The 27,154-nt window shown below is 49.0% G+C and overlaps 1 protein-coding gene across 5 annotated transcripts in view, besides 1 other annotated feature; it reads right to left on the bottom strand.

The window, feature by feature from the left end:
- Positions 1-27,154, bottom strand: part of KIRREL1 (kirre like nephrin family adhesion molecule 1) — a 106,618-nt gene that overhangs the window by 26,770 nt on the left and 52,694 nt on the right. The window contains exon 1 of one of the 5 annotated variants that reach the window (XM_047424312.1): positions 3,912-7,234. The exons of the other annotated variants lie outside the window; for them this stretch is intronic. The gene's annotated coding sequence lies outside the window, so the exon portion shown is untranslated. Of the gene's footprint in view, positions 1-3,911; positions 7,235-27,154 lie in introns of those variants that run through there. 5 annotated transcript variants of the gene reach the window in all.
- Positions 17,130-17,704: an enhancer, noted in NCBI's record as "H3K27ac-H3K4me1 hESC enhancer chr1:158025579-158026153 (GRCh37/hg19 assembly coordinates)". NCBI's record gives its function as "activates a minimal SCP1, AML or CMV promoter by ChIP-STARR-seq in primed H9 embryonic stem cells {active_cell/tissue: H9 hESC(primed)}" and the evidence as "EXISTENCE:reporter gene assay evidence [ECO:0000049][PMID:30033119]".

Below are 27,154 nucleotides of genomic sequence, written 5' to 3'. Positions count from 1 at the left end.
GGATTGCTGTCAAAGTAAAATGAGATGAGGTGTATGCTATGCGTGGTACAGTCCCTTGCCTGTATGCACTAAATGGCAGCTATGATCATTATTTCTCCTGAACAGTTAGACAATTAGAGGGACAACTGGAAACCTGAATAGGAACATGACAAAGAAGGTGGTATCTGACTTTCTGGCAGTTTTGAAGTTTCCTCTTGATTTAGGCCTGACTGAAGCAATTCAGTCCAGACACAGGGGCATGGAAGTAATAACCTTGCAGAGAGTCCAGAAAGGAGGGGAAGTAAAGACATCTCGGGAATTTAATTGGATGGAAAGGCAGCCTAGACCCTGGGCCTACTAAAGCCACTGGCAATGTTTTCTGGTCCCAAAACAGCCCCTGCAGCCAACATAGAATCCCAAATATAGTTCAGATGCCCCTGGGTTATGCCGACCTGGCTTATGATTACAGGAACGCCCCAAGTCTCCCTTCACCAAGTCCTGTTCTCTCTGATCTGTACCCAGATGCTAGGCCACTTGTCCTGGGTTTTTAGTGGCTTCTTGACACTCAAGGGCAAACCAACACCTCATCCCCCTTTTACATTGTAATGCTACTGGGTCCCCTCTCCCCTTCCTTCCTGCTAACTGATCAGCCATGCCCTGTCCGAGGCCTGCACCTCACTGCTCACTTTCTAGGCTTTCTCCTCTGCTCTCCCACATCCCCCTCGCCACCACATGTCAGAACTGTCCAGAGCCTGTTTCCCTTGCCCTTCCCTTCTCTGCTCCACATTCTCTTTTTCAGGGAGCTTCCCAGGACCGACTCCAAGTTCCACCCAGCATTGTTCCTCCTCTCACTGAGAGGAGGCCTTTGTCACCTCTTCATGCCCTTGCACAGGCCTTTCCCTGGGGTGGACACTGCTCCCCCTGCTCCCTCGGGATTCAAACAGTCACCTCCTCTGGGAAGTCTCCCGTGACTTTCGTGTAGTTCCCTCAAGGTCTTCCTACTCACGTCTCACTTCTGCTGTAGTAGGGCCCACACTGCACTGGCCACCCCATCCCTGCTGTTACCCCAGGGGCAACTCCAGGAGTCTGGACTGTGCCACTTATAGTCAAGCCCATCACCAGGTGCAGGGCCTGCTGCCTGGCACACTACGGGTGTTCCAAATATGTCTGTTGACTGAGGGAGTGAGAGTGAGCAAATCCGAGTCCACAGTCCTGCCTGTGAAACCACCATCCAGAAAAGGAGGCAGAGCATGCCCCTGACCCCAGAAGGCTCACAGACTTCCACCGAGGTAGAGACAGGCTGGGCAGGTGAAGAGGACAGCACCCTCCTCTCAGTGAGAGGAGGAACAATGCTGGGTGGAACTTGGAGTCGGTCCTGGGAAGCTCCCTGAAAAAGAGAATGTGGAGCAGAGAAGGGAAGGGCAAGGGAAACAGGCTCTGGACGGTTCTGACATATGGTGGTGGCGAGGGGGATGTGGGAGAGCAGAGGAGAAAGCCTAGAAAGTGAGCAGTGAGGTGCAGGCCTCGGACAGGGCATGGCTGATCAGTTAGCAGGAAGGGGAGAGGGGACCCAGTAGCATTACAATGTAAAAGGGGGATGAGGTGTTGGTTTGCCCTTGAGTGTCAAGAAGCCACTAAAAACCCAGGACAAGTGGCCTAGCAAGTGTCCTAGGCACACATTTGTGTGCACACCTGCCTCTCAGGTCCTGGTTGCCTGGCCGTCCACCATCCACGCCACAGAGCAGAGCCTGCCCTGGACTGAGGATGACATTTCAATCCCGTCCCTATGCCTGCGCCCCCTTCCAGGAAATAAAACCAGTGCCAAACAGAAACACAAGGAAACTGCTCTATGTGGGGTGGGAAGGTGGCCTCCCGGGGGCCAGGTGGGAGGGGAACCAGGAAGGTCCTGACCACAGACATACAGTGAAAACAGACCATTGCTGGGTCAAATTCTGGCAGCTCCAGTCTGGGGCCAGCCAGTGAGATTCTGCGCGTATGTTTTAAGTGTATTCCCATCTGCTTTGATCTTGCTCCCTCCCTGCCTTCAGACACCATCACAGCTGTGGTGAGCTCTTAAGCAGTCATTGTGAAGACAGGCAGAGAAAAACTGAGCAGCATACCTGTGTGCCAGGGCACGCACACTCACACATACTCACACGCACTCACACGTACCCAGAAGGCTGACAGAGGCGTAGACAACGCTGAGAAACAGAGACAAAGACAGACACCCACGCAGAGGCAGAGGGAGAGCGAGGAGGGAAAGGAGACTAGAGTGAGAAGGGAAGAGGCGAGCTCTGTAGGAAAGAGCCCAGCGTGGAAAAGACGCAGGCCGGGCCGACAGAAATCCAGAGAGAAAAGTGCCAGGAGGAGCCAGTGAGACAAAGACACCCATGGAGTAATAGAAACCCGAGGCAAAGCAGGGGGGAAGGAAGGCAGAGAGATGGAGACCAGGAGAAAGACAGAGGTGGGAGGGGAGCTGGGGGCCCTGGCAGCACCCCATCTCCTGCCCCAGGGTTGGACACTCCGTTTTTCTCACTGGATAGGAAATTACGAGAAGGCCCAGCCAGGGTTTGCAGGCAGGTGAATAGTCTAATTAGGTGGAGGAGATCAGAGTCTTGAGGGGTGAGAGGAGCACAGAGGGACCCTGGGGAGAAATTAGGAGAGCAATAGGGAATTTGGCGTGGCAGCTCTGTGCTTCTTCCCCAGGTGAGGCAAGGTGAGAGGTGAGGTAACCCTAATCGCCCACCAGCATCCTCTCTGCCTCTCTCTCAGACATCCGTCCTTTCAGGTTAGCCCACAACCCTCACCACACACACCCCATAAGGCAAAGCCCCTCTAGCCTCAGACTGGGAATCATTCCCTCCCTCTTCTCTTACTGCATTGTTGGGGCCTCTGGTTATAACACTTTATCACAGCCTGCCTTGGATTAAAAGTTACCCATATGTGTGTGTTTCTGTCTCCCCCACACTCTTGGGAGCCCCTGGATAACAGAGATGCTTTGATTTATCTTCCTTGACCCTTCAACCCCAGCAATGTTCCTTAATAATAAACACTCCCAATTATAAGATGCCAACTATGTGCCAGGCACCGAGGCAGATGCCTTGTAGACACTGTTTCTGCATAATAATCCACTATTATTATCTCTGTTTTATAGAAAAGGGAAATAAGGCTGAGGGTGCTTAAGGTACAGCTGTTAAGTGGCAGAGATGGGATGTGAACTCAGGTATTTTCTGCTACAGGGATATCCCGGGTGTCTCTCCAGAATGGACGAGATTCATGACCTCTACCCAGAAGAGAACTATCAGTTAAGTTCTGCCATCTACCACTCCTTCTTCCTGCCCTACAGCTTACACTCCCATCTTAACCCTGTTTACCTCCTGGGAGGCTGCACTCTTCAGCTCTGGGCTGGCCAGCACTTTATAGCCACGCAGGACTTGCCCCACACACTGCCACCAACATAGAAGACTTGGTCTAGATGTCCCTACACGAAGGGAGGAGCGGTAGCCAAGGCTGGAACGACTGTCAACAGCATCCAGAGAGGTTTTGGTGATTCATAAAGCACCAACCTTCAGGCCACCAGTGGCTACCAGCAGAAGTAGCCCCTGCTTATAAAGGGCCAATGACTGTTCTGTGCAGCTCACTAATCCACTGCCACTTTTATACACAACAACCCAATAAGGTAGGCACAATTACTATCCTTAATAAAAAAAGCTAAGGCTCAGGGACATCAAGAAACTTCCGTCTAGTCACACAGCTGGTAAGTATCGGACAGAGAGCACAGCAAGGAGCCAGGCCACTGGCTCCCTTGGAATGCCATCTCAGCAGCCTGGCCACTGCTGTCTTCTCTTGGAACCTCCCAGCTCAGATTCAGGTCACTGTGCAAAACCAGTCCCCAGGGGTTTCTCCACCTCCCCTTAATACTGTCCCCTCACCTGGAGCACTCTCTCCCTCTTAACACTGATCCTCCTGGGGCGACTATCCCTGTTCTCCAGCTCCCTGCTCCATCCTCATCAGGGCACTGGGGTCCAGAGCTAGGCCAGTCTCTGTGTGTGAACACACTTCCTGCTCCTGCAAAGACCGGGAGGACAACAAGGTCGAATCCCATTTTTGACAAAGAACTAGGAAGTGACCTCTAAATCTATCCTAGAGGGGCTGGAAATGCTTAGATTCACACACACACACACACACACACACACACACACACACACACAAGTACGTCATACACTTCTTATAGGGACACATGTACCATAACACACAAGCGCATGCATTTACCAGCAAGCACATGCGCACACACACCCCTCCCACATTCAAGTACTTGTCTCTGCACCCATGGATGCCCGTCTGCTTCCGTGTCTCTGCACACGTGCCCTGATGGTCATGTTCCCAGAGCCTGGGCTGCCAGGCCAGCCCGGAACCAGAGAGGGAATGGGGCCAAGCACATGAGATGCCAGGGGACCAGGCGGCAGAAGTAGGGGGTGGTGGAGGACAGGCCCTGTCTCCCCGGATTTATCAAACGAGCAGTAATGAACCCCCTGGGCCAGAGCAGTCCCCACGCTCTCCACTCCAGATCGTGCTGCTGGTTCAAAGGGAAGCCTCTGATTCGCACCGACAGCTTTCAGATGGAACTAAATCTCTCCACACTCCACTCTCCCTCCCTCTCTGCTCTCACATCTTGGCTCTCCCCACCCCCGCAGGACTCTTTTCCCCCCAACCCCAGTCATTCCCTTCTTGCTCTATGAAAAATACAACAGCCAGAGAGGTCCCCTCACATTGGGTTCTCTCAGAGAAAGAGGATTTCAATTCTCTAGGCTGGGCCATCGAAGGGCGAAGGAGAGAAGAAAGGGAGAGATTGGCACTTCTGATAGAGGAGAAGAGAAGGCAAGAAGGAGGGAGGAAGGGAGGGGAGTGCTGAGCTGGGGCTGGGCAGGGTGAGGACAGATCCAGAGAAAGAAACCTGGCAAGGGCCATGGAGGCAGGCAGAGGCTCCCCAGAGTAAAGCTCTGTGCCTGCCCAGCTACTGCGGATGAGGGGTCTGGGTCTGTTGATTTTGCCTTATACACAGCCCAGCCTAGAATCCTAAAATGTCAAATTTTGATGTGACTGACTTTAGAGACCCTTAACCCCCTCCTTTGACAGATGAGGCATCAGAGGTCAGAAAACTCCATTGCCTTGCTCTCAGTGGATAATCTCAGAGGAATGACTACACGTAGATGTCAGGTGATATGGACATCAGACGAAGAGAGAGAAATGACAAACGGCATTCCCCAAAGACAAGTTTCTAAACATTTAAGGACTATTATCACCTCCTGTCTCTGCCGACCAAAGCTCTCTGGCTTCATTTCACAGTTTGCAGTGAAAAAGACACTGAACAGTAGGAGCCTCAAATGCCCAGACTGAATCCACCTTTACCGCCTTCCCACTGCTGGTCCTTTCTCATCCCAGGAAGCCAAAGCCATGGACAGAAGAATCAATCTCTCCTCCCTCATCCAAGCAGCTTGGCCACCGCCTCCCTTCTGTCCGTCTCTAAGGCTGGGGGTATGGTAGGGACAGCCGTAGGGGAATCTTTCCAGGGACCAGATGGGATTTTACAAGTGACCATGGTCTGGCCTGGTTTCCTTGCATCTGAGCAGACCACAGAGGCCAGCTGCAGCGGCTGGCTGGAGGGGCTGGCTGGTGCTTACAGTGACAGGGCAAGAAGGCTTACTGTTCTGGGCCTGTGGATTAGTCACCTCAAGAGGCAGGAACAGAGCCCTGAAAAATGCAAGCGGGATCAGCCCAGCACAGTCCTGCCAGGAAGGGACAGAAGTACTCTAAGCCAGAAGTTAGGAGACGTGGGCTTGTCTGGTCCTGGCTCTGCCACCAACCTGCTGTGTGACTTGGAGAGCTCATTTCACTTATTTGGGTCTCAGGCTCCTTAGCCTGTAAAAGGGAGGAGAAGATTCACTTGGCCCCCAAGGGCCTTCCCATCTCTAATGTCCTCAGACTGCAACCCTGCCTCCTGCTGACCTGGGGCCTCGGTCAAACCTTGAGGACACTTAAGGACTCAGCACCGACTGCTGGGAGGAACTAGTGTACCTGGGCCCATCTTGGCATTTCCTCCCTGGGGCGTTTCCTCCCTCATCCTGCAGGGATGTGGAGGGAGGTCTGTGGGTGTGTGTCACTAAGACAGAGGCTGAGGACCCAGATGAGGTATCCGGCATAGGAGAAGAGAGGCCATCCTTTCCTTTCCCATTAGAAGCTCCCATCAGAGTTTCTCACATCCCTTCCATTAGGGCTCATGGTGGTGCAAGGAGGATAGAGATCAGGCAGCTGAGATCCCTGAAGCGACCTGCCAGCCCAGGCCCACTCACAGGACTTTGAGCTCTACATGGAAAAGGCTGGAAGTGATGCTGGAAACACTCCCACCTGCCCCATTTGAACCTCCAGCTCAGGGCACCTGCGCCAGACCTAGTAGGACAGCTCTATGCAAATGTACCCTGGCAAGGGCTCCTGAGAATGTTTTATGGGAAGGACAATGGCATGGGGAGCCTAAATGTGTTGGCTATAGCAGGTATGACAGACAGGTGGGAGCAGAAAGGGGGTGGTAGGGCTGATGGATGGTTCTGCTGAAAACCTGAATTTTAATCTGGCTTTAGTGGGCAAGGGAAGGGAGGTAGGGGAGACAGGAGGCAGGTGGCAGGTAGGGACTTAGTTCAGATAGGAGGCTAAGAGGAAGGAGAGCAAAAGACAGAGCGGGAAGGAGGCGAGAGAGCAGAAACTAGGCCAGGGCCAGAGAAGGCTGCAAGAGATGGAGAAAGGCACCAGAAGCTGGGGTGGGAAAGCAGAAAGGGACGGGGAGCCTCTGTCCTCTCCATCCAGGCCCTGCACCTGCCTCCCTGACCTACAGGAGCACATGGAGGCAGGGTCCAAGGCTTGGCTTTCCAGCAATTCCCAGGGTCCACACAGTGGGAGGGAAGGAAACTGAGACGCAGGACACTGAAGGAGATGCCTCAATGTGCAAAGTCAGACTGGGAAGAGAAAAAAGATGACAAGAAAGAGTCATAGGCAGAAATAGAGAGCAAAGGAGATAAAAGAGAAAGCTAGTTGTGGGAAAAGTAAGCAAGAGGCTGTTAAAGATTGTTTTAAGGTCAGGTGAGGAAGAAAGGTGCTAAGAGGACACTATGGTATGAAAGAAACAGAGGACAGGACAGAGAGACAAGCAAGGGGAAGAGAAGAGAACTGAATTAGAATGATGACTGGAGGTAGGTAGGAAAGGCCTTGATGGTCGCCACTCCAACATTCTTTATTTTGAAGGAGCTGAGGGTCAGGGAGGGAGGGAGGGATGTGGAGTTGGCATGTCTCCAAATTCCCGGTGGCTTTGGCACTAGCCTCACAATGACAGAGGGCCCCTCTCTAGAGGCAGGGCACATCCCAAAGCCTACTCTTCCTGCACTGATGGTGGGGCAAGAAGAGGCTCTTCCTGGAAACCCTCCTTCACTGAAAGAAGAAACAAAAAAAAAAAGGTGATGAGAGAGGAGTTATGGAAAAGAAGGTTGGGAAATTTGATAAAAAATGAGAAGTGAGAATCAAGAAATAAAGTAAGGAGACCATCTGGGAGAGGAAAATGAGAACGAAAATAAGAAGGACAAAAGAACAAGAGAGAAGAAACTGGAGAAAGCTGAGGGGAAAGAGGGCAGGCGGCAGAGACAGTGGGGTCTCACAGGCAGAAATCCGGGCTGCGATTCCCACCCTCTGGCCTCATCTGAAGGTCTTGAGCTTCTAGGTTGAAGAAAAGGAATGACGTCTTTGGGAAATGGAAGGGAGCTTTGAAAGGATTAGCCAAGGAGGGAGAGAAGAGAATGAGGTGGGCTATATATGAGGTAACACAGAAGGCAACAGAGGACAGGGCCTTTGTGTCTCCCCACAAACCAAGGCTGGCTCACAGCTCACCTCCCTTCTGCAGGCGTCCTCAAGGGGTTCTCTAACCTCACCTCCTAGAAGAGAGGTCAATTACTCCTTCATCTCTTGCCATCCTGCCTTTTCCTGGGCAGGCACAAAATTTTTCCTGGAGTCTAACCCTATTCCCTTCTTTTAGTAAAGCCATCCCCTCTGGGCACGACACCTCCCTACAGGCTCCATAATTAAGGCAAGTGCAAGTTCTGCTCTGAAAACCTCCCACTGCTTACTTCAGCATTCTTAGTTACCACTGTTACCAACAGAGCTTCTAAGCACAATCTGAGAAGAGCCAGAATGGTGCCTGGGTCCCCGCAACAGGCTGGAAGCCCAGGAAGAAATGCAGGCTTGTCCCAGACCCTCTCTAGAGGTCTCCTGGCACTTTTAGGAACAGTCTCCTGAATAAACAGCCTCAACTCAGAAATCCACAAAGAGCTGGGCAACAGTGAGGAGGGCATTCTCTCCTTGACCCTGAAACCAAAGAACCAGAAGTAAATCCAGATCTTCTGATACCAGGCAAGCACTCTGAAGGACCCCTCTCTGTTTCTAATTTTAAAAGCTTTATTACATTTCTATGCCTCCTCACCTCCCACCCCCCAACTCTTGCCCCTCTTTCCCACTTCAAAATTAAAAAAAAAAAAAAAAAAAGACCAGCAGGTTTAGGTGTTAGACATTATTCTCCTTCCAGAGGCTGGAATTTCCAGATGAACCATCTGAGTCTATGAGCCAGGTGAGCAACTAATACGGGAAGGTATGGGGCTCTGATGAATGCTGTAGACATCAACCCTCCCTGGCTCTCCACTAGTGCCTCTAAGAAAGGCTGGCTTGGCAGACACTAGACATGCCCATAACACAGGTGTGTCCCCAGACCCCATCACTGCCCCTTCCATACAAGCCCTAGGATAGACATTAACAGTTGTAGATCCCAAGGAATAGATATTGTTATTCACATAAAATTTTCTAATAGCACATAGCAGAGGCTTCCCATCACTAGAGGTGTTCAAGATAAGGCTGGATGGCCACCTGGCAGCAATGCTCCGGAGGGCTCTAGGTAATATTTAGGATTCCTTTCAACTCTGATGCTTTAGAATTCTATTTACACACCATAAATTTTCTTCTTACTTTGGACTTACACCCATCAAATAATCAATTTGTAACAGGTCAATTAGGGTGGACTCAAAGTTTAAAGGAAGGAATTCTTTAAACAGGGCCATCTGAAGGGGGAAGAACAGGTCAAAAAACAGTCTAGGATGGAAGTCAAAGGTATAAGTAAAACCTTTTCCCCATGGCAGTTAACCATGACGCCAAAGACTTGGTAATGGGACTTGAACATAATCATATGGATTCAGACCTGGAGTCTAGTCTGCAGCTATAACTTTTTTTATTTTGGCTCCTTTTCCAGACGAATAGATGGCAAACTTCTTGAGGCAATAAATGTAATCTTAGTCGTGCATCATCCACACACACCATAGGTGCTCAGTAAAAGCTTATTATTTGCTTATCTGAATTAAGGATGAATGTATAAAACACCACCCTCCAGAGAAAATAAACTTAATTCAACATACATCTATTCATGTAATAAATACTTATTGAATGCCTACCATACTGTACACTGTCCTGGACCCTGGAATACAAAGGTGAACACGACAGACCTAGTCCTGCCATCATCCAGCTTCAAGTCTGGTAGACATACCCAAGCACCAAGTCCATACAGTGCGACAGCGGCCATGATGGGGCAACATGGAGGAAAGTACCTGAGGTGCAGGAACGAATCCTGTAGGAAGTGATGTCTTTGACAAGATCCGAGGGATGAGTAGGAGTTTTCCTGGTAAGCAGAGAGAGAAGGGAGAAGAAACTGTCCTGGGAAGGCAGAGGGCATAGACAGCAGTGTGAAGTTGGGAAAGTGAGGCCTTTTAGGATCCTAGAAACAGTTCAGCCTGGCTGGTATGTTGAGCACAGCTCTCCTGGAAGCCAAACAGTGTGCTTGATGGGATGGGCAAGCTGGAAAATGGGAAGTTGCCTGCTCATCACATTCTATCAAGGGAGACAAATTAGTTAACAAATAAGTGCTGAAAGACTACCAGTGTCATGCAGTGGTAGCCCATGCTGATGAGATGAAATCAGGGCCGACTTGATGGGGGGCAATGATGTGGGAACCCATGCAATCTGAATACTCCTGAGGGCATGGACATGGGGGTCTTATTCCACTCAGGAGCTTACAGCCTTAATAGATGCTTGTTGAATGAATATCTTAATTGATGTTTGTTGAATGAACAAATACATTGCATTTTTTTCTTATCTGACTTCCAAACTGGTCTTCCCTTGGGCTGAGACTCATGTTAGCCTTTTATAGCTCTGGGCCCTTACTATAGCCTCGTAAGTTGGACATAGGTGGTCTTGCTTGCCACAGAGTAGGTATTCAATAAATGCACATTTATCGGCCAGAATGGCATTGAGCCTTGAAGACAAGAAATATTTCGACAGCCAGAGAACTGGGAGAAGAGTATTTCACACAAAGGGAACAGCATGAGCCAAGACACAGAAACATAAAAGTCCAGTGAGCAATTGGAAGTGGCTGGGTTTCAGGCACATAAATAAATTGGAATCATGATCAGGCATCTTTAAAAATCTAATGCCTTCTCTTTCTGGACATTTCTCTGGCTCTGCACTCCAGAAACTTCTGGGCTATGGAGAGAATGGACATAGACAAAGAAAGAGGTCCAGATTCAGAAAGACGAAAGTGGAAGCTGTGGCACATCTAAGCTGCACAGGGCCATGTGTGTCAGCCTGATAATGTTTGGGGACAGGCTTGAGAAGAATCAGAAAGGAAGAGGCTGCCTATGGTGATGTCAGTGTGTTTTGTATCTGCGTGCAAGGGGGGACACATGTGTCCTTGTTTGCATTCACCTGTCTAGGTAAGCGTGAGTGTGTTACCACACGTCAACATACTAGTGTTGGTATACAGCCACCAAAAGGGAGAACGAGGCACTTTCTGCACATAAGCAGGACATGCTAGAGTTTTCCAATTAATCTCCATTAAAAATATTTCCTGCAAAGGCGCTCCTAGAATCCCCAGGTTGGGGTCATCTGGATCAATTCTGCGTAAAGTAAAAGCAGTTCCAACCGGCTGCTGAATCGATCCATCTAACTCGGTTCATTCTACACGTACAGGGGGCACAGAATGTTAATTTGCTGCAGGGAGCTGAGGAAGCCTGGAGTGGAGGCTCCATAATTAAGAGCTGTAGGAGCAGGTCTCAATATGGCAGCAGTCAATAGGCAGAGGCTTGCATAGAGGAGGGAGCATCCAGAGGTAGAACTTCAGGGTTGATGACGCTGGAGCCCTTGTTCTTCCCTGCTCTGCCTGACTGAGTTTCCTTGTCAGGCAGAAAACAAATGCTCCAAGAGCAGAGGCCAGGGAAGCCAAAACCACTCATCTTACCACTCTCAGAAATTTACAGGATATTGGTGGGGGACATGATTTTAGTGACCAATTGCAAGTCTGTGGTGTGGGCACATGGAGAAACTTTCTCTTTAGGGCATGCACACTGATGACTGTTCCTGGGACCCCAAAGCATGTGAACACCAGGGCAGCTCTGTGCCCTCATTTCCATGAAGGAGGCAAGTATTAGCAGAAAGAGAGAGCAACCTACTTGTCCACATGCCAGCCACTCCACCATCTCCTAGCAGACCTACATCCATCCACAGCCTGCTATGCAACCTTCAAATCCCCGTCCTCCAGGCAGTCTTCCCAGAGGGGCTATAAAGGAGATATTCAGTTTCCTTTCCCATCCTACAAAAACCAGCCACCCTGAACTGTGCCCTCATCAGCCTCCCACATGAGCCTGTCTCAGCTTTTCTACTCACCCCAAATTCTGCTGATCTGGGGGCACCCAACTCTGCTCACTTGTCTCTCTGTCCTGTGTCAGTACATCTCAGCCTCAGAACCACCCTAGATGCCAGCCAGAGGAGAGGCCAGAAACATGTGACTGATGAAGGTGTCCACTAAAGCTTCACACAAAACTGCCTAGAGAGGAGCTGGATGCAGCTGTGGCAAAGAGGATACCCCACATCCAGGTGTAGGAGAAACCTTGAGAAAGCAGCCTGCCTCTTCTCTCACACTCTTTCACTCCATCTCTGAGTCTTCCTTTCCCTTTTTGATCTCCCTGTGTTGCCCACCCCCAAGGAATAGGGAGGGGATCTCTCATCCCTCCGCCTCTGTTGTCCCTGGTCTCTGCAATAACCTAATGATTTCTCATTTAGTTGTCCAGGGCTGGATGCAGAAAGGCTCGTTTTGATTGCTTGTGACACCTATCTCACAACAAATTTAGCACCTCATTTCCTGGACCAGGCAATATTCCCTCTCGATTTACTCCCAGCAAGAGGGACAGGGTGCCATGCATTCCAACGAGCAGCCTTTGCTTCCTGATATCAGAATCAATCAAGCTCACAAACCTCTGATGGATGGATGGATGGGGGGTTAGGTTCTCAGGGGGGCACAGGAGGGCTCCAAGAACAAGGAAGAGGTAGAGGACAGAGCAGGGCACAGGGAAGCCTCCGGAAACTCAGCCCTCAGTGGGTTTACAGGCAGAATTCTCTGAAATGGAAGGTGGGGACAGGAGCAGTTTAACCTCTGCTCAGGTAGTTCTGGAACTTCCTTCCCAAACCACTCTTGAAATTTGGGTATTTCATCCAGCCACCCCCTAAATGTGCCCTAAACTCTGGGCTAGGAGACGGCACCGGAGTCATGCTGTTTCACCCTGGAATAAGATGAGAGCGGAAGGACACTTCCCTGCTTCAAGCCCCGACTCCAGCATTCCTCAATACCTTGTATTGCATGGAAATGACTCTTCCTACAAAATCACTTGCTCCTGGCTGGGCTGCCAGGAAGAGCAGGAATTCTGAGGGATCTGCCCCATATGACTGATGAGGGGAGATGAAAAGAAATTTCTCCAGCCCAAGAGGCAAGCAGAGGCTGTTGGAGGAATGGGTCGAGAGTCCTCTCATAAGGGAGTTAAAGGAGGAGGAAGGCGCAGCAGAAAGTCTCAGTGGAGGCGGAACAGGCAGATTGAAGTAAGAGACCAGGGGACTTCTGGAAGGACATGGGAAAGGGAGCAAAGGAGGAGAGAGAGAGTAATAAGCAGAACTCAGCTAAAGACAGAAGGGTCCCATGCATGAAAGATAGAAGTGTGAGGGCCTTAAGCTGTGCAGGGCAATAGTAGAAGGGAACGAGGGTGGGAATGGGTGAAATTGGCTCATCCTGGTGGCTACAGACAGGGAGATTGAGAAGGAGGGGCAAAGGTCAGAGATCCCCAGAATGTGAGCTGTGAAAGAGGACAGATGTCATCAGAACCCTGCCCAGGAATGCAGGATGCAGACTCCCTGCTGGGAAAGGCGAAGGAGGAGCAGAGAGGAAAGGGGAAGGGGCTGATCACCAGCAGGGGTGGCAGATGGTCGCTGTCATTAAACGGATTCCAGTAAGTCCAGGAAGCCTTAGACAGCACAGACAAGGTTGGGTAAGCAGTAGGAGGAGAGAATTAAGGAGCAGAGACTTGGAGGAAGGAACTTTCACAGAAACCTCACACCAACCTGTATGTTTACATATAATCTAAACGTATTCCCACTTCAACCCTAACCCCAAACAGTAACCCCGAACCCAATGTCCACCTCAACACTAATTCCAATCCATACCTAATCCTAGCAATCACTCTAACCCCAAATCCTAACTAGAACATGAGCTCTTGAAGAGGCACAGCATCTCAAGTCCCCTCAGAGCCAGGTACAGCATAAGTGATCAATAGGTGCTTATTGAATAAATAAGAACATAATAAGCCAAACTTTACCTCTATCCTTAACAGTAATCGCTGCTTCAAGCCTGAGCCCCCACCCCTGCCTACCCTGATGCTCATACTGAGCACTAGTAAATCCCACACCCCAGGTGAGTATTCCCTACCCTAATCCTAAAGGCCACTTTCCTAACCCCAATCTCATTTCGCCTAACTCTAATCCCAGTTTTTTTCTGCCCCCACCTCTGGAGAGATGAGGGCCCTCAGTTAGAATTCATCTAGGCAAACAAAGGTAGAGACAAACAAAAGTGTCAACTCAACCTGGAGGCCAAGCCAGGGTGGACATGTTGGCCCCTGAATTCTCAAGCTAATTGTGGATGCTTACCCTTGTCTCTAACCCAGACACCCAGAGCGTTCTCCCCTACAGTCCTATTCTTGTCCCAGAGGCTGGGTGCTAGAAACTGGGGCTGAACGTGGGTTTGAGGGCTGGGCCAAGGCTGTGAGGCTCCGGAAAAAGGGACTTGATGCTTTAGACAACAATAGAATGAGTTAGATCTGAAGAGGCACGTTCCTGCAGAGAGAAATCTGACAGGGAGTAAGTGAAAGGACTCCAGTTTGGAAGGCAGAACCAAAACATCTTCCCACCCACAGCGCTGACCCTGGGATCCCTTGCCCAGACACAGGGTGCAGGAGTGCTCTATTGGGTGCCCATGGGAAACATGCAGTGGGAAGGGTGCTGTGTAGGGTGTGGAACTGCTCTGTAGACACTTCCTATCTGCCCCACAACTCAGGAGCAGGGATCTCTCCCTCCGGGTCCTGCCACTCCCTCTCTGCATCTCCAAAGAGCAAGGCCCTCCACATCTCTCAGGACATGTCGGCTGCGGCGTCTGGGAGAGGAGCTCAGTATTATGTTCTGTTCTTGCCGCAGCCAAATCTGATTATCAGGATGGGTGATGGATGAGCTGGGTTTGGACCCCCAGCTCAGGAATGGGATGATGGAGTTGGCCTGTCACTCTCTCCCCAGGGGATGAAGCATCGGGTCCCAGATGTCGTCTGCAATGTGCATACCTAAGAGATGTCTCCCTAACCAAGATCCCCGAGGGACTGAAAATCCCTCTCTGGCTTCCAACTATTTCTTGCTATAAAGACCTTTGAGCTGCAAAGTACCTGCACTAGCTCCCCGAGACCTGCAGAAAGCAGGATCAGAAACCTAGGTGTCAGAATTCCTAACCCTGGGTGAGACCCATTGCTTCTGGCTGGCTGCCAACATCCATGGGGGTCACTTTGAGGGAGGGGGTGGAAAAGCTTGCCTCAGCTCTTGGCTAGGGGCCTCCAGGCATTTCTCAGTGACAGCCATGGGCCTTGGAAGCCTGGGGCAGGGCAGGGAGGGAGGAGGGAGAGACAGCACAGAATAATAATGAAGGATTTTTAATAACTCGTCAGCTATGGTGTCAGCTGAACAGCAGCAGCAGCGCAACCTGTTGGGAAAACTTGGTGAGGAATTGTCTTCCTAGGAAGTTAGAGGAGTCAGAGGGGCTGAGGGCAGGAAGGAAGTGTCTTCCTCATCCCAGGCACCACAAAGCTTTGAGTCAGTGGTGGTGCAGGACAAAGTGCCAACAGAATTACAGAACCCGAGGCCTGGCCCTCTGGGAGCTTCCACTCTGGACCAGACCCGCAGGCCACAGACGCAGCTGAAGATACAAGCAATCTATGAGGACATTACTGAGCACAGCCAAGCTTCCCCTCCAGAAAATCGCAAGCCCCCAACTCACCCAGTGAAATCAATCAACTGGAAGGCAATTACATGCTTATCAAAGGGCTTCTTCTCTTTACCTAATAATTCACCAAGGATTTGTTTGAAGTAGCAGTGTCATCAAAGAAGGTTAGAGAAAGCCCCTAGGTACTACCTTTTCAATGGCCTCGTTTTCCAGATAAGGACACTGAGGTCCAAAGACACTGCAGACAGTTGGTGGCAGAACCGGGACTGCTAGAAACTAGAAATCCAGGTCTCTTGGAAATTAATATTATTTTACCTACAAAAGCAGAATTTCCATATACTTTTCAGGGGACCAACTGCTGCAAAGAGTGGAGTACCTGGGTACTCTGGCATTTCAAGAGCAACTGCCTTTTGAGTGGGAGCAATCGGGAAACCTGGGGCGACCCCAAAAAAATATTACACATCTTTTCTTTTCCTCAGATCATCCTAGGAGGCCTTCCTGGAAGCAGTGGCTATGGATATGAACTGACTAATGGAGAAACAGTTCCCAAGCCTTTAGGTGACGGTGGGAAAGAGCTCAGTGGCATGAATAGAGAGGAATATTCTATGTCTGTGAAAAGCCCTGGAGACAAATTAAAAGACAGGAGTACTTATCTTGCACACAAATGAAGGCACAGGAGAGAGGACTGAGAAAGATTCCAGGTCTTAGGAAGTCAAGGGCCCTAAAGGGTTAGTGGCTCTGAGCAGACCACCAAAGACAAGGCAGGGCTTCCTTTCTGGGATAACAGAAAGAGCTGGCTGGGATTTCCTGGAAGCTCTGGCATCCTGCAGAGACCATCCCACGTGTCCCCAAACCCCAAATAAAGCTGAGTGGAGGTGTCAACCCTCAGCTCTCTTCGTGTTAGGCCACAGTGCTGGGGGCAGGGACTCACACCTCTATCCCATCTACTCCTGAGAGCCCCCAAAGGCAGTAACATCTCTGCACCTCAGGTCCTGGCACACAACAGGCACTTCATTAGGGTTTGATGAATGAACGAAGGAAGGAATGCTGGGGTCCTCCTAGGAGAAGATGAAAAAAAGATAAATGAAGGTTTGGAAGAAGGAGATGGGAGTGGCAAAGATGCTGGGATATGGCACCTCCATATCCTGGCAGAAGGCAAAGACTGAATGACTCCTTCCCTGTTTTAGAAGGAGAAACTAAGGCACCAAGGAGTAGGCACATGTTCCACATGAGAAGTTCAGAAATGAAACCCAGGAGTGAGCCCCATAGCTCCAAGCCCAGGCTGCCAGCACCCCCGCCCAGCCAGCTGCTCTGGAAGATGTAAAGTGCTATCTAAACGTGATGCATTATTAACACTTTAGAAATCATATTTCACAGCCGCCCGGCTGGAGCTGGAAAATGAATTTCTTCCTCCTGCTCTCCAAGCAGGGGAATTATTGTTGGAGCCAAATGTGACAGCAGTGACACGTGACCAGGGCCAAGGGAGAGGTGGTTGAGGGTGAAGGCCATAGGCACACACCTGGGGCAGGTGCTGGGTGCTCCTCTTTTTCCTAAGCCCCAACCAGGCAAGACAGCCAACCTGACCCCTGCCTCTCCTGGTCATGAGCATCAGCCTTTGGGGGCTCTTTGGCCTGCTCCCTCACCCCTAGACCCCTGCTGATCACTCCCCAGGTGCAGAACCTTGCCCTGCCCTGTGAGGAGGAATTGCAGATGGTGGTGGATGCTCCAGCCTGACGCGAAAGGCAAGTCCTTGGGAGACAGACACAAGGGCAGAAGATCTGTCATCACCACTGCAGGGGCTTCTCGGGAGAGGAGGGTACAAAGCAGGATGGGGAAAGAGCGCCCTGGAAGAGGGCGAGTGGCCTCCAGGCAAGCCCAGAGGTGAAAGGGAATGGTGTTGACAAACAGAGACTGGTTTTGCCCATTTGGGCTGAAAGGAAAGGAGAGGGCAGGATGAGGGGGGGCGAGGAGTGTATCCCTGGCAGGGCAGAAGGGAGGAAGCAGGCAGTGAGCTGCATCCTGTCCTCACTGCAGAAGCACCAGCCAGAGAGGGAGGGGGATGGGGCTGAGGGAGTGTCCTCCCTGCAAACACCAGTGCCTGCTCATGGGTAAGAAACCAGAAGTCCTCAGGTGGTAGATGCGGAAGAGGTAAAGCTGCCAAAGTTACTGCTGTCCCCATGTGGGACCACAACCCCAGGCCTTCCTGGAGGGTGCTGGACTCCTGTCCTTATGCTCCATTGGCAGTGCAGGCACCTTGTAATTAGGCATGGGGAACAGATGAACCGATTTTCAATTAAAACCTTATCTACAGGGTGCATAGATATCAAGGTGGGTAGGTTTGATTCTTTTCTAAGCCAGCCTTCAATATTTGCAGTGCCCGGAAGGAGACGCAGGGAGGGCGCCTAGGCAGCCCTGGCGACATATAAATTCTGCTCATAATTACATGACTTTCAACACCACGAGATGCCAATAAAGCATTTGCAAGGCACACAAATTCATGACATGTTGGCATTCCTGACATGGCACTTGGACATCGGCCAGGGCACAGGAAGTGGGGCCGCCACTCTTGCCCATGAGGTTGGGGAAACTGAGGCTACTGATACATAATTCACCTGTTTCTTAACAAAGATATCCCATATTCGAGTCCCCCACACCTGCCAGCTGATCTCTCTCAAATCCCCTGCTTGGTGAGAGCTGCAAAAGTAAAGGACTTAACCCGTGTTTCTACCAGAAGGGAGTGGAGGGGGCCAGAGGGACCAAAGAAAGTGGAGCTGGCAAGATGCAAACAGCTGTTAATCATGACAGCGAAAGTCAGGCTCTAGGAGCTCTGGGGAGGCCGCCTCCCCTTCCTTGGTTTAATCTCTTTCCATGCTCCCACCTTCTTCAGGTGGGCCAAGAATAAGCTAGGCAACCCCAGGCTTCTTTGTTCTCATTCATTCAGGGGGAAGGCAGGCAGCAGAGTCCCAAGTGCAGGTGCTTAGTGTCAATCAGGTGCCAGTGCAGCCTCACTAAGTCCCAGTTTCATCCATGGTAAAATGGTGATTGATGGTGGATGGCCCAAAAAAGGAAGAAGCAAGAAAGCCCAAAGAAATGAGTCTGAAGATGCTTGGTGCCGTGCTCAATAAAAATGCACCGCCCAGTCACCTCCCACCTCCACCCACAGTGTAGGTAGTAAACTTGTCAAGATCAGGAACTTCCATCTTCCCTGTCGCTCTATTGTCTCAACATCCCCCAGCACAGGTCTCTCTGCAGGAGTAGGTACTTGATAAAATAAATATTTGTTGAATTGAACAGAATTGAGGGAGATAGAATATGAGGAATTCTAATGACAATTTGGTAGAGGCAGGTTTTAGTAGAGCGAGCAACAAAACGTATCAGCTGGAAATCAGAACTGGATCTGAACTCCAGCTCTGCCACTTACTGCCAGGGAGACCGTGGGTGAGGCACACAGCTGTAGGCCCTGTTTCCCCATCTGTAAAGTGAATGGTTGGACAGAAGACATGGAAGATGCCTTCCAAATCTCAAGATGGTGTGAGTTATTTGAGGACAGGGACAGGGCTTGGAGAACCATTTTGAGAAAATGTCCTTACAAGTTCCTGGTACAGGCATAGGTTGGCCATCAGCACTTTACTCAAAGCTCAGCATGCTGTTTGGGATAATAAAAAATTAAATAATAGTAATGATGATGGTTCCATAAATATCCACAGGCAACTTGTTGGCAAGAAATTTTGTTTATATAACTTCTATGAAAGAGATCCCATCATGGTTAAGCAGCCTCCCCTTTGGTCCTGCCCTCACCCACCCTCAGTCTCAACCCATCCCCACCACTTTCTTTTTCTTCTCTTTTTTTTTTTTTTTTTTTTTTTTTGAGATGGAGTCTTGCTCTGTCACCGAGACTGGAATGCAGTGACACGATCTCAGCTCACTGCAAACCCCGCCTCCCAGCTTCAAGCAATTCTCCTGCCTCAGCCTCCTGAGTAGCTAGGATTACAGGCACACACCACCACACACCTGGCTAATTTTTTTATTTTTAGTAGAGATGAAGTTTCACCAAGTTGGTCAGGCTGGTCTGGAACTCCTGACCTCGTGATCCACCCGCCTCAGCTTCCCAAAGTGCTGGGATTACAGGTGTGAGCCACTGCACACGGCCCATCCCCACCACTTTCTTGATTCCTTCTGTCCTGTGGTTCCAGCAAAAACTGGAAGAACTCTGAAACCTAAACAATCAATTCAGCTCAATTCCATTCTATTCTAACTAGCAAACAAGCATTGGGGACCTACTATGTGCCAGAGTTTATGCTCAGTCCCATAGAATAAGGGATTAATAAGGAATAGCCTTGTCCTTGAGGAATTTACATGAAATAGCTTCAGCTAAATATGAGGCTCAGGTCAATCATCAGCTCTGGTGTTTAGGAGGAAAATGATCAATTCCAACAATGGGAAAAGAGGAGAGGGTGAATCTGAAAAGGGTCTCTGTAAAGGGCAAAATTAAGCCTCAAACCAGGAAATGTGGGAGTAAAGGGATTCTGGGCACAAAGAACAGAAAGGACATGAGCAGAGAAGCCTGTGGTGTGTCTGGGGAAGAGTCTGGTGTGGCTGAGTCACTGGGTATTTGTGGAAGGGCAGGGTTGTAAGGATTAAAAGTGATAATCCCCTTAAATACACTTGCAAGCTACTTGTGCATGGCAACCTTAAGATGCTGCATTTTTATTGTTTATGAAAGATAGGACAGCTAGACTCTGACCAGATTGTGCCAAATCTTGAATGTCATTCATTCATTTACCCACTCAATATTTAATGCACCTGCACCCTACTGTGTGTCAGGTGCTGTACTGGGGGATGGAGACAGGAAGTAGAATCCCACATGCCTCCTGCTCTCAAGGAACGTAGAGGTGAGTACAGACTTACACACATAAACACAACATGCAGTTATAGGTGTGATATGGTTTGGAAGTTTGTCCCCTCCAAATCTTGTGTGGAAATGTGATCCCCATTGTTGGAGGTAGGCCTAGTGGGAGGTGTTTGGGTAATGGGGGCAGATCTCCATGAATGATTTGGTGCCCTCCCCAGGGTAATGAGTGAGTTCTCTCTCTGTTAGTTCACACATGAGCTGGTTGTTTAAAGGAGCTGGCACCTCCTCCTCTCTCTCTTGCTCCCTCTCTCGCCATGTGACACACCAGCTCCCCTCTCTGCCTTCTGCCATGAGTAAAAGCTTCCTGAGGCCTCACCAGAAGCTGAGTGGATATTGGTGCCTGCAGAACCGTGAGCCAAATAAATCTCTCTCTCTTTTTTTTTGAAATGGAATCTTGCTCTGTCGCCCAGGCTGGAGTGCAGTGGCGCTATCTCGGCTCACTGCAAGCTCAGCCTCCCGGGTTCATGCCATTCTCCTGCCTTATCCTCTGGAGTTGCTGGGACTACAGGCACCCGCCACCACGCCCGGCTATTTTTTTTTTTTTTGTATTTTTAGTAGAGATGGGGTTTCAGTGTGTTAGCCAGGATGGTCTCGATCTCCTGACGTCGTGATCCACCTGCCTTGGCCTCCCAAAGTGCTGGGATTACAGGCGTGAGCCACCGCGCCCTGTATAAATCTCTTTTCTTTATAAATTATCCAGCCTCCAGTATTCCTTTATAGCAACACAAAATGGACTAATACAAGGTACAATGATAAAAGTAAGGAAGCTTGGTGGTCAGGTAGTCTTCATAGAGGAGATATCACTTAGACTAAGATTTGAAATATAATAGGTGTTCACCAAGCAGGTAAGGGGAATGTTGGGTGGGTTGGCTGGGAGCGGGACAGTTCCTCCAGGCAGGAGATAAATGTTAGCAAGGGCTCAGGGGCCATGTATGTTTGTGGACTGCTGCATATGCAACTGGTTCTGATTAACTAGAGTTCAAGAGAAGAGAGGGAAGAGAGATGGGGTAAGGGAGGTAGGTTGGGGCCAGATCATGTAGAGTTTTATATGCTGGATCAGGAGTTTGGATTTTATCAGAGTAGTTAAGAGAAGTGATAAGGCAGAACACTCTGCCAGTAGTTAGAGGGAGGGTAGGTACAGCAGGGAGCTGCTGTACTGCTCCTGGAGAAAAATTATAAGGATATAAAACTAAGACAGTGGATAAAGAGAAATGGAATAGGTATGAAATAAATGAAGGGGTAGAATCAACAGGATTTAATGATTAGGAGAAGGTGGAAGCTGAGAGGAAGGGAGGTCATTTTCAGTTTGGGTAACCAAAGAGGAGGTGAAGGCATTTACAGGAATCCTGGAGAAGAAGGGTGTGGTGATGGGGAGGCAGAAGTCAATGGCAAGTGGCCTGGTGGCCATCCAAGGTCATTCCAAGGAGTATGAACTTCATCTTGTAGATGATGGGGACCCACTGAAGAGAAGATTTTAGAAAAATTACTCTTGCATTTTTCCCAGGAAAAGAGTAAGCAAGAGAGGGGAATTAAATTGGAAGAAGGAAGAGAGTGGAAGGGAGAAGAGAGCAGGTATCCATTCACTATGTCTCTACAAAAAGGAGGAAACAAGAAGTTAAATATAGTGAGTTACTCTAGTGTTGATGTTGATGCGGCTACATGCTGGTTACTGGTAGTGTTGACTAAATGAAATATATATGTAGCAAGTATTTTAAAATATTAGCCACTGTTATTATTTCAATAATGCCACTTCTGTCGTCTATAGGTGTTCATTGTGTGACCATGAACCACTAATAAGAATAACTGATCATCTGTCATTATAGATGATAGAACTAGAAGTAGGATCTGGGAGTCAGGGTTCTTGTATCTGCCCTTGCTTCAGGAAAGACCACAGGAAGGAAAGGAAGATCTTCCAGGGAACAGCATAAGCACAGGCACAAAGGCAAGGGGACAGGGGAAGGCACCGAGTATGCACTGAGTGTGAGCAAACCTTGCAACTACACTGGGCTGCCCATGTGCTTCTCGGCCTCCATGCACCACGTCCACCATCAGAACAGTTGATTCAATGCAGCCAGCACTGAAGTATGAGGAGGGGAACTTCGTTCTGAGCAACAGTGGACAGATGTCTTTTCTCCCCAGTAAGGTTTATGCTGAAGCAGGAGAAACCGAAGGTAGACATGAAGAAGAACTTCCTGCTCTTAAGTTTTCAAGAATCCAGAAAAAGTAGGATTTTGGTAAAGTGTAGATAGTGAGACCGGGACGGATCAAATAGACTAATCTTAGAGCAAATATCTGACTGCATTTTTCAGAATAATGGAATTTGAGACCTGGAAGAAATCTACATGAGATAATTTAATCCAATTCTCTTATTTCACAGATGAAATACCTGAGGCCCAGAGAGATGAAGTGAATCTCCTGAGGTCACACAGCTGGTCAGTAGTAAAGCCAGAAGGATAACTCTGTGGTCTCTCTGGACTTCTAATCAGGTGCCATCTCCACTCCCCATTTTCCTCCCCAGTTCCCATTCATGGTTAAGGTCCCTGGAACACTGAACACATTGTACTGCAGTGCTCAGTGGTCCCTTAAACAAGTGGCTTCTGGCTTTAATGGGCACATTCTAATTCCCCCATCCCACAGTTCTGCAAGGGGTCAAGGAAATTTCCAATGTTTAATGTTCGAGGGATGTTTATAGTGAATGGGAGGAAAGGGGGGAGTGAAAATAGCACCTCATTATAAGTCCACAGAGACCAGAGTTACAATTCTGGCTTTACTGTTGACCAGCTGTGTGACCTTGGGGAATTCACTTCACCTCTCTGGGCCTCAGGTATTTCATCTGTGAAATAAGAGGATTGGATTAAATCAAGGAGTCAAGGAAATTTCCTTAACCCCCTGCAGAACTCTGGGATGGGGAGAATTGGATTGAGTCTATGTTCACGCTAGGAGGCTGTCGGGGTGAGGCAGTACTGCCACCTGGGACTTCAGAAGTGCTGTAGTCCCTGGAACCCAGAAATTCCTCGCCAAATGTTGTAGATAATCTCTAACCACATCTCACAGGCATGTGCACACACACACACCTCTCTCCTCCAGTCTCCACTTCCAGACACTGATTTTTTACTTTAAACCTGAAAAACTGCCAAGTCCTTGGTCCTCATCCAGGGATTTCCAGGAATTGCTCACCATCACTTGAAGACCAGCTCAGTCCACAAAACTTGTGGATTCTGGCTCTGATGACCCTCCCCAATTCACTGAGGGTCCATGGTTGCTGTAATACGGGTCTTTTCAGCTGCATTTCTGTAGTCTTTCTGCTCACCGACCCCACTACCTCCCTACCCTCATTTAAACCTGGGGCTCATCCCAGACTTTCTTCTCCTACCTCATAGCAGGCACCACTAAATATCCCTCCTAAATAGGTCTGGATTCTATCCCTTCCTCTCCACCCTGTCGCTTTGCTTAAGGTCTTTATCCTCACTCCCCTGGACTACTGCAATAACTTCCTAATTGCTTCCCCTGTCACCAGCCTGCTTCTCTTAAGTCCATTCCCAACAAAGTTGCCAGAATGATCTTTCTGAAACACAAATCTAATGATAACATTGCCCTATGAAAAACCTTTCAATGGCTCTCCATTGACTTCAGATGAAGTTCAAATTCGGTTAGACCCTGGTCAACGTGCACTTTACCTTCTAGAAATCCCAGACTCTCAGAGGCGTGTGCACACGCCAAACCATCCTCTCAGTGCGGGTGCACCCCCTCAGGATGCTCCTGTGCTCCCGTCACTTGACTCACTCCTCTCCATCCATCAAGACACAGTTCCAGCTTAGGGCCCCAGAACCTCCCTTAAACCCTCAGTCTGAGCCAAGGGCCCTGCCTGAATTCCCATAGTACTTGTGCATCCTCTAACTCTGTGAAGCTCTGAACTATAAGCTCCTTGAAGATAGGCACTACTTTTTAAATTCATTTTTATACTGACCAAGGATGTCTGGCTCCTAGTAAACACTCAACTTACATTTGCAGAATTGAACTGAATCCAAAAGTTAATTGCCTCATTTTCTACTTCCCACACCACCTTCTACAAATACCTTATTCGTTCTGTCTCCACACTTGCAAATGCAAGTTTTTCTTCTTTAGTGCAACCCAAATGCTCCCTCTTCCAGAAAGCCTTTCCCGATAAGCCCCACCTGACTGCTTCTCTGGACTCTCTGAGCTCAGTTTGTACTACCTCCCTTAGCATCTCCACCTTACCTTTCAATTCTCTCTCAGAAGTGAGCTCAACTCCTACCAAATTGGACTGCTTGTTATTGTTCAAACACTTTAAATACTTTACACTCTCTCGGTCAATGTCATCCTATTTCCTACTCTCGCAATTTCCCCTCAGCTGGAGGGCAAGGACTTTACTTCACTCCTGCTGCAGCATCCAGACATGTATTTACTGTAACAGGTGCTCAACTTCAGTTGTTAATGGCCTGCCTTGAACCGCTGACTTGTATGTTTTATGCTATTTTTGTATGTGTGCAAAAGTATGCGTTCCCTTTTCCTTCGTAGGTGTTTCACTTCACCTCCCTGTGTCCCAATTTGGATGACATCTCCACGGTCTCTTCCAACTTTGATGTTCTGTAATTCTGTAGCTGTGAGTTCACTGTGGGCAAGGACTAGATCTATTTCTTCCCCCACAGCTTCAGCACACTGCTGGCTCAAAACAATCATGCTGAAAAAACGCCTTTCCTAGTCTTGTTTCTCTCCTCCTTTCCTTCTTAAGGGAAGCAGTGGAGCACAGCAGCTAAGCATGGCCACTTGGTAACCAGCTCTGCTACTCAACCTGGAGCAACCTGCTTTAGTGCTCTGTGCCTCAGTTTCCTCAATTGTAAAATGGAGATAACATAAATAATTCTTCATAGGTAGTAAGCCTGATGTAAGTTTTAATAATCACTATTATTCTTGCCCTATCCTTCTTCCTTCCATCCTTCTTATTTACAGTGTTTAGATATCCAACTCCCCTAATTTTTTGGACGCAATAGGTCTCACCAACATCAGAGGAACCCAGGGACTGCTGGCCTAGAAAGTATGAAGACTCTAACAATTTTAGACCACGATGAGGTCCAGAGATCTTCTTAAAGTAAGAGAATGTGATGTAAGATCAGGCAAAAGAGAAAGGTTGGAACCAGAGAGAAAGAGCAGGGGAGAAAGCCCCAGGCAGAGGGTGGAAAAGTTTCTGGCTTCATCAGAGCAGATTCTTTTGCAGAAACCAGACTGGGGAAAGCTTCAAGAAATCAGGAGAAGGGGCATGAGGTTAGGAAATGTTTCAGCTGAGACCCAAATCCTGGCCCCAAAGTACTTTTGTGCATGGGTCAGAGAAGGGAGACGGCAAATTATAGTCAGCATTTCACAGCTCTGGGAGGGTGTGTTCATTGGACCAGGGACTCATGAACCGGGTTCTGGCCCCAGCTCCATCTTTATAATAATGAAGTGACCTTAGGCAAGGCTCACTGCTCTGAGCCTTGGTTAACCCAACTAGAAAACAGGGACAACAGAATGATCCTGGCAGGCTGTGGGGAGGATTAGAAGTTCTCTGTAAATGATAAAGCACCGCCCATATATCAGGTATCATTTTTATGAAGGCTGCATCTACATGGCCTAGCCATCCAGAAAATGGACCTGATAACTGAGGTTCAAGTGCCTTTTTAAGTCTCATTTATTTAGGCCAAATAGGCTCTCGGTTATCAGAAGGTGGAATATCCTCAGCCAACAATGATGACTTCTCCACCCAGCCTGACCTTCCCCTGAACCCCCATTCCCCACCCCAGTCAGACACAGGGGCCTTGTCAGCACTTTCCACATGGCACAATCATTGTTTGTCTGTGTTGCTCTCTTCCATTAGCCAGAAAGGGCTGAATCTTCATCATGACGACCCCTGGTGCCTAGGCCAGTGTCAGACATGCAGCAGGCATTCAATACTGACTTCCTGAATGAGCAAATACATGGATGCACAAAATTCTTATTTAGGCTGTGCTACAATCCTCCTCTTTGTAGCTTGTAGCCATTGGTCCTAGTTCTTCTCTATGGAGTCACATAAAATGAATCTAATTCTCTTCCATATGACACTCCTTTAAGCACGTGAGGAGAGTTATGACATATCCCTGGAGTCTCCTCTTCTCATGACCAAACATCCCTAGTTTCTTAACCTGTTGTTTCCACAGGCATCTGCATACAAAGGGGCTGCATTCTCTCCTCTCTTAAAACCTCTCTGTTGACCCTGTGCCCAGCAACCCCCTCCATGCTCTGCTCTCCTTTATAGCAAAAGCACTGAAGCATAGTAGTACACACAATCCTTCTCCTCCCATTCACTCATGAACTCACACCAGAACTTTTAGTGCTGAGTTACCAATGACCTACAAGTTGCTAAATCCAACACTGGCCCTCATCTTCGTCCTCATCTTGCTTAATGGATCAGCACACTTGTTACAGATGATCCCTCCCTCCTCAAAGACCTTCCCCACCTGGTCTTGCAGGACCCCACAGTCTTTTGGGTTTCCTCCTCCTCTCTTGCCTGCTCCACAACCTCCTCCTCCTCTTCTTGTTGAAGGGTCCTGACTGGCCCTCCCCTCCCTCTTGGTTCGCTCCCTTGTTAAATTCAACCAGTTGCACAGCTTTAAACATCATCTCTAACTTGATGTTCTATCCCAGCTCAGACCTTTCCCTCCAGCTGCAGTGGCATCGCTCAAACTTCTTACTGGACACCCCCACTTGGCTGTCTCATTGGCCTCTCATACTTAATGTGTCCAAAACTGAGCTCCCGATCTTCCACCCCCAAACTTGGTCTTCTCAGTCAAAGCCAG

Source organism: Homo sapiens, chromosome 1 (assembly GCF_000001405.40).
Source record: "Homo sapiens chromosome 1, GRCh38.p14 Primary Assembly".
Classification (NCBI taxonomy): domain Eukaryota; kingdom Metazoa; phylum Chordata; class Mammalia; order Primates; family Hominidae; genus Homo; species Homo sapiens.
Note: the sequence above shows the minus strand (reverse complement) of the source record. Positions and strands in the feature narration are given on the sequence as shown.